The following is a 12,482-nucleotide window of genomic DNA, read 5'->3' on the forward strand; positions in this document are numbered from 1 at the left end:
TCTAATTTCATGTGCCACTTAAAAAAGAACACAAAAATAGAAACTGTAGGAAATTCATCTGAGTGCAGCTTATGCAAGAAGGGGCAGGATAACTCCATTCTGGACTTATGCTCAAAGACATGCGCCTTTACCTTACAACAAAACTGGCGAACAGGCATGTGTTTTAAGAATAAAAAGCTTTTAAGGTATCATATATTGTTTTTTATAGTTCCTTTGCTTAACTGACGTTTTGGTTTGCTAAAAAACTACCAATCACATCAGATTACAAGTACTTTCACTGTAAAAATAAAAAGTGATGTGACTGACACCTCTTAGCTCTGTAACGTATTACTCTTTACGAGAGCAGTGAAGGAAAACATGGTGATTCAATCACTCCACACACCAAGCAGAAAAGTGTTGAACAGGCCGGGCGCGGTGGCTCACGCCTATAATCCCAGCACTTCCGGAGGCCGAGACGGGTGGATCACTTGAGGTCAGGAGTTCAAAACCAACCTGGCCCACATGGTGGAGCCCTGTCTCTACTAAAAGTACACAAAATTAGCCAGGCGTGGTGGTGGACACCCGTAGTCCCAGCTACTCGGGAGGCTGAGGCAGGAGAATGGCATGAACCCAGGAGGCTTGCAGTGAGCCAAGATGGCACCACTGCACTCCAGCCTGGGAGACAGAGTCAGACTCCATCTCAAAAAAAAAAAAAGTATTGTACAATTAAACTGTTTATATGTAATAACCACATATATATGCCTGGCATAAAATGAGCCCTGCATTAGAGGTTGCTGGATGTAGGGCCCTAGGCCTGACGTATCCAAATAATGTCTATGATAAAGAAGTCAATAAGTGCTCTCTATAACACACAAGCATTATAAGTTTTCACACTCCAAAAACTCTTCCTTTCTAAAGTTACTAAAACTTTTAAGGGCATTTCAAACAAAAACAGCTGTGGAAAACAGATCGGTTAAATCCTATGGCTAAGAAACATCTTCCTATCCCATGTATTATTCATTACCCAGGTGTCAATTCTGTTTCCAATACAAAAGTCTCAAGCAGTGAAGCGCTTCCCACTCCAGCTGGGAGAGCCATCCTCAACAAGATAAGGGTAAAACCTGTGAGCACAAGGCTTCCATCTGCAATTCCTGTCTGCAGGGAAGCTCCCCAAAGAGGGAAACCATGTCTTATTCCTTACGGTAAAACACCACCATTCATTCCTTGTGTTTAACAACCAATGCTGGTGGAACATAAAACAAAGCTTAGCAATCACTTTTTTCATGCTACTTAGACCTGTAACACATTTTTCCTCTGGTGCACACTATCCAAAACCTAGTCATTTCCCTTACTCCTAGGAGGAATTTAGATGACTTTTTTTTTGGCCAGGTGCAGTGGCTCACGCCTGTAATCCCAGCAATTTGGGAGGCCGAGGCAGGCAGATCGCTTTGAGGTCAGGAGACCAGCCAGGCCAACACAGTGAAACCCCATCTCTACTAAAAATACAAAAATTAGTCGGGCATGCATGGTGGCACACACTTGTAATCCCAGCTACTCGGAAGGCTGAGGCGGGAGAATCACTTGCATTCGGGAGGCGGAAGTTGCAGTGAGCCAAGATTGCGCCACTGCACGCCAGCCTGGGCGACAGAGCAAGACTGCGTCTCAAAAAAAAAAAAAAAAAAAAAAAGACTTTCTAATCATATTGGAAATGTGTAACAAGGACCAAGTACTGTGTATTAAACTTAATAAATCAAAACAACAGGCCCTCTAAGATATAAATGGTGCTTCACTGTATGTTTATCTGCCCAACCCATCATAGGAACTCAATTCAGCATTAAACTGGTTTTAGATCAAGACACTAGAACTCATGTTTAGCAGTTATTAAATTACAATTATTAAGAAAAACACTTTATTACGTAAAGTCCTTTACTCCAAAAAGTTTCTCAAAATACATAAACACTAATATAAAACAATTATTAAAACTTTGCCTGAATCTCAGGATTTCAGAAATATGAAAGTACTCATCTCTCACCTCTCCCATCCACTTAAAATGACAAAACAGATCATTATAGCTAAATCAAAGGAAATGTTTAAAGAGAAACAAACCCAAAGAGTAACTACACCAATTCTTGACCCAATTCTCTGTACTCTGTCTTATGTAACATTACACTATGAATAACAATCCCATCATCCACAACAGCTTTTTTTTTTTTGAAACAGTTTTGCTCTCATTGTCCAGGCTGGAGTGCAATGGCATGATCTTGACCCATTGCAACCTCCACCTCCCGGGTTCAAGCGATTCTCCTGCCTCAGCCTCCCGAGTGGCTGGGATTACAGGCATACACCACCACGCCTGGCTAATTTTGTATTTTTAGTAGAGACGGGGTTTCACCATGTTGGTCAGGCTGGTCTCCAACTCCTGACCTCAGGGCATCCACCCGCCTCGGCCTCCCAAACTGCCGGGATTACAGGCGTGAGCCACTGCGCCCGGCCACGCAACACAGCTCTAAACACTGGACTCTCATATCTACCAACACTCAATACCTGTTTAAAAAGAAAAAAAAAATTAGGAAGGGGCAATAACACTTCAGTGTAAGTATCCATGATCAACTACTGCTTAACAGCCTACACGACTTTTGATGAACAGTCAAGGCACATTACTTAATACTTAAAATGGTTAACCTTAGGGAGTAGGAAAATACAGACACACACAAAATATTTCAAACACTTCTTTTTGCTGCTGATAAGGAGTTCCAAAAGTAGTTTTTCCAAGCCATTTCCAAATAAAAGTAGATTGGGTGTAAATAATTGTCTATCGAAATATTAGTTATTATTTATTTAATAATGTCCTGACAAGCTTGCAGTTATCTCATTAAATCAAAAAATTAGGATCTAAGGCCAACATTGTTTCCTCACATTCTTGATGTGAAAATCTGAGCACTCCTCTTAATAAGGAGTTACAAAGACAAAACAAACAGCTCAACTGAACTAACTCTTGTCTCTCCAGAAACACAAACACAAGACCTCATAAAATGAGTGAGTTTCTATAGGCCATAATTACTGCAACTTACTTCTCCAATTTTCCCCTCCACAGTTAACTCAACAGCTCAAAAACGATCAGTAACAAACAACAGTCACCATGATATGGTTAGGAGTGTGGCAGATTTCTTAACCAGTAATAATAAATAGGAAAAAAATTTTGCCTATTAATAGATCTCAAGTTTCGTGCACTTGCAAGAAACTAATTAAAAGGCAGCCGCGCACGATCTACAAAAACAGCCATAAAGACTGTTACATTTTAAGTTACAGGAAATAAACCTGCTCCTCTAATTCAGCAAGATACAACTGACTTCCCCTTACATACCCTAAAAAAAAGCCTTACACGAGAAATTTAAACATGGAAGCAGAAACACACCAAGAAAAAGACATGTCAAACCCCACCTGTATATCTGTTTTCAACCATTTGGAGTCGAGGCGAGCCTGGGCAGCCAAACAGAAAGATTCAGAGGGCATCTTTTCTCCAGCTTCCTCCCAGGTCTCAGGCCTGCAAGTAAACACATACGCTGAAGACCTAACGCTTTTTAATAGTTTACAAAGACACTCCCGAAAGCCAGAAAAGAAAAAAGAGAGAGAGAACAGAAAGGGGGGAGAGAAGAGCTGGTGGAGGGGAGAGAAGGGGAGAGAGGGAAAGAGGGAAGAGATGGAGGGAGAGGGAGGTGGGGAAGGGAAAGCCTCCTTCCAAGGTAAGCAGGGTGTGCCGAGTTTCTGCACCACGCTGACGAGACCTTGAGAATGGACGGTCACAGGAAGCCAAGTCACAATGTCATCCCCCTGCCCTCAAATCCAAGAAGTACACACACATAACAGGGAGCCCATCGTTTTAACGACAAATGACAGCAGCATGAATCTGCCGCTTTACCCCACAGCAGGGCGCGTGCGTGAAACAAAAAATTACTCAAAAGGATCGCCTGCAGAAAAACCCACAGCCACCACCACTTAAGAGATGGAGAGAGGCCCGAGGCTGCCCCGCGGGTGGTCCGCGCAGGCCCCGGTGCGGCCGCCGCGCCCACGCCCGCCTCCCGGGCTCGGCCGCCCGCCAGCCCCGCGCCCGTACCGCCCCCGCCACCGGCCGCCCAGGTGCCCCAGGCCAGGACCTGACGCGCAGGGCCCGGCCGCCTCGCCTCGCCGGCGCGCGGACGCAGCCTCCCAAGAGCCGCTGGCTCAGCCGGCGCCCGCGATCCCGGCGCCTCTCGCGGCCCGAGGGGCGGGCCGACGCGGGACTGCCGCCCCCCGCGTACGGCCAATCGCAACGAGGCTGCTCCGTGGGCGCAGCCAATGGGGAAGAGGAGCCCTTCGCCGCTCCTCCCGACTCTCCCGCTTCCAGCAATCCCGCTTATCTTCCTACTTGGAGCGCCCTGGCTGCGGCCAAGGCCAACAGCGGGCGCCGGAAGGCGGGATTTCCGCCACACGCACGCACTCCCGCACTCCCACGGGAGACTGCTTGGCTCGGAGCGCTCTTGATCACGCCGCGGCGGGTGGTGGCGCTCACACTAACTATAGCTATCCAGGGCGCGGGTCGAGTGGCGAGACCAGCTCCCCTGGGTATGAGAACGCATCTTTGTGCGGTCGGCTGGCTGGGGCCTGAAGAGCTTCCTCCTGTGTGTTCAACTGAACGCAGCAAAAGTCTTGGGCAGATTCCATGGAGCAGCTGTGGAAGCACTGTGCAGGGAATCGAAGAAGGAAACACCTCCAGCGACCACAAAACAAAATTGAAGAACTATAAAACAATATAGGCCGGGCGTGGTGGCTCACGTATGTAATTCTCAGCGCTTTGGGAGGCCGAAGCGGGAGGATCCCTCGAAGCCAGGAGTTGGAGGATCCCATGTTGCCAGACTGGGCAACATAGCAAGACCCCATCTCTAAAAAATAAAAATAAAAAAATTTAACAATTAGCCAGGTGTGGTGGCACACACCTGTGATCCCAGCTGCTCGGGAGGCTGAGACAGGAGAATCGCCTGAGCCTGGGAGATCAATGCTACAGTGAGCTTAGATCGTGCCACTGCACTCCAGCCTGGGCGACAGAGTGAGATCCTGCCTCTAAGAAAGAAAAATAACGGCCGGGCGTGGTGGCTCAGGCCTGTAATCCCAGCACTTTGGGAGGCCAGAGCAGGTGGATCATCTGAGGTCAGGAGTTCAAAACCAGCCTGGCCAACATGATGAGACCCCTTCTCTACTGAAAATACAAAGATTAGCCAGGTGTGGTGGCACGTGACTGTAATCCCAGCTACTCGGGAGGCCGAGGCAGGAGAATCGCTTGAACCCGGGAGGCGGAGGTTGCAGTGAGCCGACATTGCACCACTGCACTCCAGCCTGGGGGACAGAGGCTGCACCACTGCAGCCTTGACTTACCGGGTTCAGGTGGTTCTCCACCTCAGCCTTGCCACTAGCTGGGACTGCAGGCACATGGAACCACACCTGGCTAATTTTTGTAGTTTTTGTAGACGGGATTTTGCCATGTTGCCCAGGCTGGTCTCGAACTCCTGGGCTCAAGTGATCCGCCCGCCTCAGTCTCCCAAAGTGCTAGGATTACAGGTGTGAGTCACTGCACTCGGCTAATAGTAATGAACTTTGAACAGAAGGAAAGTTGTTATTATTTTCTTGGTTATGTTCTATCTATATTTTCTAATTTTTCTAAACATGTAAAGATAAAATTCTAAAAACTCAGACCTCAGAACAAAAAAATTAGAGTATAAATATTTATTTTAGTTAACTTGTACAAATTTGGTTTCTGGAAAAAGAATGGAATAGATTTTCTGAGAAAAAAAATCCACCACTTTGGCCGGGCGCAGTGGTTTACGCGTGTAATGCCTGCACTTTGGGAGGCTGAGGCGGTGGATCACCTGAGGTGAGGAGTTCAAGACCAGCCTGACCGACATGAAGAAACCCCTGTCTCTACTAAAAATACAAAAATTAGTCAGGCCTGGTGGCACGCACCTGTAATCCCAGCTACTCAGGAGGCTGAGGCTGGAGAATCGCTTGAACCCAGGAGGCAGAGGTTGCAGTGAGCTGAGATCGCACCATAGCGCTCCAGCCTGGGTGACAAAAGGAAAACTCTGTCTCAAAAAGAAAGAAAGAAAAGCAGACTGGCTGAAAGGATTGAAGAACAAAATATGATCCACCAATGTGCTATCTACAAGATAAACATTTTAAATACAGAAACAGATTGAAAGTAAAGGGATACAAAGATACAATTAAAATAGTAACCAAAAAAGAGCTGAAGGGGCTGTACTAATATCAAATGTAATACACTTTAAATTAAAGCAGGGCTGGGCATGGTAGCTCAGGCCTGCAATCCCAGCACTTTGGGAGGTGGAGGCAGAGAGACACTTGAGCCCAGAAGTTCGAGATCAGCCTGAGCAACATGGCATAATCCCATCTCTACAAAAAATACAAAAATTAGGCGGGCATGGTGGTACCCACCTGTGGTCCCAGCTATTTGGGAGGCTGAGGTGGGAGGATCATGTGAGCTGGGGAAGTTGAGGCCGCAGTGAGCTAAGATCGGGCCCCTGCACTCCACCCTGGGCAACAGAGCGAGACCCTGTCTGAAAATAAAAAAAAATAAAAAACGGGGTTGAGAGACAAAAAAGGACATCCTTTTTTTTATTATTGTATTTTGAGATGGAGTTTCGCTCGTTGCCCAGGCTGGAGTGCAATCGTGTGATCTTGGCTCACTGCAACCTCCGCCTCCCGGGTTCAAGTGATTGTCGTGCCTCAGGCTCCCGAGTAGCTGGCATTACATGTGCCTGCCATCACGCCCAGCTAATTTTTGTATTTTGGTACAGACGGGGTTTCACCATGTTGGCCAGGGTGGTCTCCAACTACTGACCTCAGGTGATCCACCTGCCTTGGCCTCCCAAAATGCTGGGACTACAGACATGAGCCACCGCGCCAGCCGAAACCTTCATTTTAAAAAAGGCTGGGTCAGGCATCATGCCTCATGCCTGTAATCCCAGCACTTTGAGAGGGCAAGGCAGGCGGATCACCTGACGTCAGGAGTTCGAGACCAGACTGACCAACATGGTGAAACCCCGTCTCTACCAAAAATATAAAAATTAGCCGGGTGTGGTGGCACACACCTGTAATCCCAGCTACTCAGGAGGCTGAGGCAGGAGAATTGCTTGAATCTGGGAGGTGGAGTTTGCAGTGAGCCGAGATTGTGCTACCACACTGCAGCCAGGGTGACAGAGTGAGACGCCATCTCAAAAAATAAATAAAGGCTGGGTGCCAGATGTGGTGCATAGGCCTAGTTTGTTGACTCCTGTACTTAACATATAAAACTCTAAAGAACAGTGGGAAGGAGCTTCCCTCTAGAGGCACAGGAGCGGCCAAGTTGGTCCCTGAGCAGTGACTTTATAATAACATGTTACACTGTGTTTTTTGTTTTTGTTTTGTTTTTTGTTTGTTTGAGACGGAGTTTCGCTCTTGTTGCCCAGGCTGGAGTACAATGGCGTGATCTCAGCTCAAAACAACCTCTACCTCCCAGATTCAAGCGATTCTCCTGCCTCAGCCTCCAAAGTAGCTGGGATTTCAGTCATGCAACACCATGCCCGGCTAATTTTGTACTTTTAGTAGGGATGGGGTTTCTCCATGTTGGTCAGGCTGGTCTCGAACTCCTGACCTCAAGGGATCTGCCCGCCTCGGCCTCCCAAAGTGCTGGGATTACAGGCGTGAGCCACCACACCCAGCCTATATTTTTTTTCTTTTTTTTTAGACACAGTCTGACTCCGTTGCCCAGGCTGGAGTGCAGTAGCGCGATCTTGGTTCACTGTAACTTCTGCCTCCCAGGTTCAAGCGATTCTCCTGCCTCAGCCTCCCAAGTAGCTGGGATTACAGGCATGCACCACCACATCCGACTAATTTTTGTATTTTTAGTAGAGATGGGGTTTCACCATGTTGGCCAGGCTGGTCTCAAACTCCTCACCTCAAGTAATCCGCCCGCCTCGGCCTCCCAAAGTGCTGGGATTACAAGGCGTGACCCACCGGGCCTGGCCCTGTGTGTTGTTTTATGTATGTTTCTATATGTGTTATATTTCACAATAAACTAAATATTAAAACAAAGAATAACTGATAGCTATGCACAAAGGTATTTAAATTTCACCCTCACAAATAATTTTTTTTTTTTGAGACAGGATCTCACTCTGTTACCCAGGCTGGAGTGCAGTGGCACCACCTTGGTTCACTGCAGCCTTGACCTCCCAGGCCCAAGCGATCCTTCTACCTCAGCCTCCTGAGTAGCTGGGACTACAGGCACACTCCACCACACCCACCTAATTTTTGTATTTTTGGTAAAGATGGGGTTTCACCATGTTGGCCAGGCTGGTCTCGAACTTCTGGGATCAAGGAATCCTCCAACCTTGGCTTTCCAAAGTGCTGGTATTACAGGCGTGAGCCACTGTACCCGGCCAAGAATAGTTTCTTCTCCTTACCTAGGTAGAGACCTCTGCAGAAATGCTGGGAGATCTTTGGAGAGGGGAGATTTTTTAAATAAAAAATTTAATACTTGGAGGGGCGTGGTGGCTTACCCCTGTAATCCCAGCACTTTGGGAGGCCAAGGCGGACAGATCAGGAAGTCAGGAGATTGAGACCACCCTGGCTAACACGGTGAAACCCCATCTCTACTAAAAAAAAATACAAAAAATTAGCTGGGCATCGTGGCGGGCGCCTGTAGTCCCAGCTACTCGGGAGGCTGAGTCAGGAGACTGGCGTGAACCTGGGAGGCGGAGCTTGCAGTGAGCCGACATCGGGCCACTGCACTCCAGCCTGGGCGACACAGCAAGACTTCGTCTCAAAAAAAAAAAAAAAAATTAATACTTTGGGATGCCAAGGCAGGTGGATCACGAGGTCAGGAGTTCAAGAACTGCCTGGCCAAGATGGTGAAACCCCGTCTCTACTAAAAATACAAAAATTTGCCGGGCTTGGTGGCAGGTGCCTGTAATCCCAGCTATTCAGGAGGCTGAGGCAGGAGAATTGCTTGAACCTGGGTGGCAGAGGTTGCAGTGAGCCAAGATAGCACCACTGCACTCCAGCCTGGGCAATAAGAGTCAGACTCTGTCTAAAAAAAAAAAAAAAAAAAACTGATCTAGTTCAAAACCTCACTTTGAATCCACCCACATTGCTCTAAAATACTTTCATCTTTCCTGTGGCTAAAACCTTAAAGCCTTGCCAGTAACTCCCATTGCACTTAAGGAAATCCAATCTCCCTTGTTGTGGCCCCTGAACAGGCTGCTGCTGGCCCACCACGGTGCCTCTAGTTTGTGTAAAATGCATATGTTAATTTATAATATATGAGGCTTTTTTAGCTCTAAAAGGCTATTATTCACTAGTTGCTGTGTGAATCAGTATTTCTGGGTGCAGTTAGAAATTATTAGAGTTGATGCCCAAGACTCATCTCCATCAGCACGGGGGAGGCATCTGCTCGTTTTATGGTCAGTGACTCTGGGCCTCCTGCTGGGCTAAGTCCTGAGGTGGGTCTGACTCAGGTCAGAGCTGTGCACCCCGGCCCTCCTCCTCAACGTGCATGAGTGCTCTTTAGGATGGAGCTGAACACTGGCTTCTCAAAACCACTTGGCCCCATCACAGGCCCTGAGAACTGATTGGGTCACTCTGGTGGGCTCCCCAGCCCTAGCCAAGAAGGGTTTCTCTAGGGAGCCTGGCCCCCCACTTATGAGACCTGGAGCCCCAAAGATCCTGACCAGGGGCCTGCCTCCTCCAGGGAGCGGCCACTCGCCCCCACCAAGCTCCCTTCACAGAGACCCATCCAACAGAGCTGAGGAAAACCATGCCTCATAAATGAATAAATACATAAATAAGAATGCCGGGGACCTGTGGATTTTGTAATTCCTGAAAGAAGGCAGAGTGGCTGGCTCACAGCAAGCGCAGTAGGAGATACTGCTCCCCGGCCAGGCTGTTCTCTGTCTCTTTGGAGGGAGCCCTAGGGTACAAGAAAAGCCAGAGGAGACCAGCTGGCCCAGAAGGTGCCTCTCCACCCCTTCCCCAGAGTTTCTGGGAAACAAAGCCCACCCGAGGGACACATGCCTTCTTGGGAGTTGTACCAGGCCTCCTTCCTCATCCAGCCATGCAGTGGTTTTCAGTGCCCGAAACAGATGAATAAAATAGGCCCTTTACGGGATGTTCTTCAGGAACATGCACACTTCTTTGGATCTTACCATCGTTTTATCTCTATTTAAAGTTAAATGCTGTGTTATACAGAGTATTGGTAAAGATGTAGAGCTACAAGAACTGTCAAGCTGGCAGTAGCATAAAATTGTATAAGCACATTGGAAACCTGTTTGGCAGCTTCTACTAAAGCTATATCTATGCCTACCTTCAGAAATTCCATCCTAAGCATGTACACAAGAGAAACGAGTGCATATGTCCACAAAAAGACTTATATAAGAATGTTCACTGCCATTTTTATTCATAAGAGCCCCAAATGAAAACAACCTAAATGTCCATCAACAGGAGAGTGAATAAATGGTGATACAGTCACATCATGGAATACTACACAGCCAAAAAAGAAAAATGAAGTGGTAGGAACACTCAACGACATGGGTGAATAGAGGGAGCCAGGTATGAGAGACAGTGCACAGTACCAGCCCACCTAGATGAAGCGCAGGAAGGCAGAACTGACGATGATTGAAGTCAGAAGGGTAGTTTCCTTTGTGGGAAAGTGTAGGTCAGGAAGGAGCCTTCTGGGGTACTACAAATCTGCCGTATTTTGGCTGGGTGCAACAGCTCACACCAGCACTTCGGGAGGCATAGGCGAGAGGGTCACTTGAGCCCAGGAGTTAGAGACCAGCTTGGGCAACACAGAGAGATCCCATCTCTACAAAAAAATTAAAAATTAGCGTGGCATGCTGGTGTGCACCTGTAGTCTCAGCTACTCAGGAGGCTGAGGCAGGAGGATTGCTTGAGCTTAAGAGTTTGAGGTTGCAGTGAGCTCCCAAAGTGCTGGGATTACAGGTGTGAGACACTATACCAGCCTGATTTTTAAATACTGACCAAGCCTTGTGTTACTGGGATAGGCATCACTTGGCCACGATTTACTACTCTCTTTCTTTTTTTTTTTTTTTTTTTTGAGACAGAATCTCACTCTGTCACCCAGGCTGGAGTGCATTGGTGCAATCTCAGCTCTCTGCAACCTCTGCCTCCTGGGTTCAAGCAATTCTCCTGCCTCAGCTTCCTGAGTAGCTGGGATTAGAGGTGTGCACCACCACACCTGGCTAATTTTGTTTGTTTGTTGTTTGTTTTTAGTAGAGATGGGGTTTCACCATGTTGGCCAGCCTGGTCTCCAACTCCTGACCTCAAGTGATCCACCCTCCTTGGCATCCCAATATTCCTATGATTACAGGCGTGAGCCACTGCGCCCGGCCCTATTCTGTTTCTATATTGCTAAATTTGACTTGCTAACACGTTTTTGAGGATTTTTCTGTTGATGCTCATCAGGGATGTTGGTTTGCAGTTTTCTTTCTTTGTATTATACTATCTCGTCTGGCTTTCTGTCAGGGGAAAGCTGACCTTATACAAAGTATTGGCATGTGTTCCCTCCTTTTCCATTTTCTCTAAGGGATTGTGTAGAATTAGTGTTATTTCTTCTTTAAATGTTTTTGAATCCATCTGAACCTGGAGATTTCTTTCTAAAAGATTTTACGCCGGGCACGGTGGCTCGTGCCTATAATCCCAGCACGTTGGGAGGCTGAGGCAGGTGGATCACCTGAGGTCAGGAGTTTGAGACCAGCCTGGCTAACATGGTGAAACCCCGTTTCTACTAAAAATACAAAAAATTAGTCGAGCTTGGTGGCGTGCGCCTGTAATCCCAGCTACTCAGGAGGCTAAGGCAGGAGAATCACTTGAATCTGGGAGGCAGAGATTGCAGAGAGCTGAGATTGCACCAATGCACTCCAGCCTGGGTGACAGAGTGAGACTCCGGCTCAAAAAAAAAAAAAAAATTTTTACAAATTCAATTTATTTAACAGATACAGAACTATTCAGGTAACCTGTTTGTTTCTAGGAGGATTTTCCTGGTTTGTGGCACTCGGACATTGCTTTATTTCATCTAAGTTGTCTGATTTTTAAGTGTCAAGTTTTCCTTAGTGTTCTCTTGCTAACCGTCTGAAGTCTGTGGGGCCTGCAGTGATGTCCCTTCATTCATTCCTGATACTGATAATTTGTATCTTTTCTGTTTTTTTCTTTGTCAGTTTTCCTAGAGTTTTTCAATTTTGTTGATCTTTTCAAAGAATGATCTTTAAGTTTCATTAATTTTTCCCTTCTTTTTTTGCTTTCAATCTCATTAGTTTCTGCTTTTATCTTGGCATTTGTTCCTTTGGCTTGTTTTGCGTTCACTTTGCTCTTTTTCTGGTTTCTTAAGGTGGAAACTTAGATTGCTGATTTAGACCTATCTTTTTTGTAATATATAATGATTTGATGCTATAAATTTTCCTCTA

At 46.9% G+C, this 12,482-nt stretch overlaps 1 protein-coding gene across 5 annotated transcripts in view, besides 1 other annotated feature; it reads right to left on the reverse strand.

Annotated features, from left to right (window-relative positions):
- HERC2 (HECT and RLD domain containing E3 ubiquitin protein ligase 2) overlaps positions 1-4,238 on the reverse strand; it is a 211,140-nt gene extending 206,902 nt beyond the window's left edge. For all 5 annotated transcript variants that reach the window (XM_006720727.4, XM_006720726.4, NM_004667.6 and 2 more), the window contains exons 1-2: positions 4,134-4,238; positions 3,421-3,523 (exon numbers count right to left, since the gene is read on the reverse strand). In XM_006720727.4, the coding sequence (XP_006720790.1) occupies positions 3,421-3,492 (72 nt within the window). In that variant the 5' untranslated portion in view covers positions 3,493-3,523; positions 4,134-4,238. The remainder of the gene's footprint in view (positions 1-3,420; positions 3,524-4,133) is intronic.
- Positions 690-1,340: an enhancer, noted in NCBI's record as "OCT4-NANOG hESC enhancer chr15:28563777-28564427 (GRCh37/hg19 assembly coordinates)". NCBI's record gives its function as "activates a minimal SCP1, AML or CMV promoter by ChIP-STARR-seq in naive and primed H9 embryonic stem cells {active_cell/tissue: H9 hESC(naive and primed)}" and the evidence as "EXISTENCE:reporter gene assay evidence [ECO:0000049][PMID:30033119]".

The sequence above is a fragment of the Homo sapiens genome, chromosome 15 (assembly GCF_000001405.40).
Source record: "Homo sapiens chromosome 15, GRCh38.p14 Primary Assembly".
NCBI lineage: Eukaryota > Metazoa > Chordata > Mammalia > Primates > Hominidae > Homo > Homo sapiens.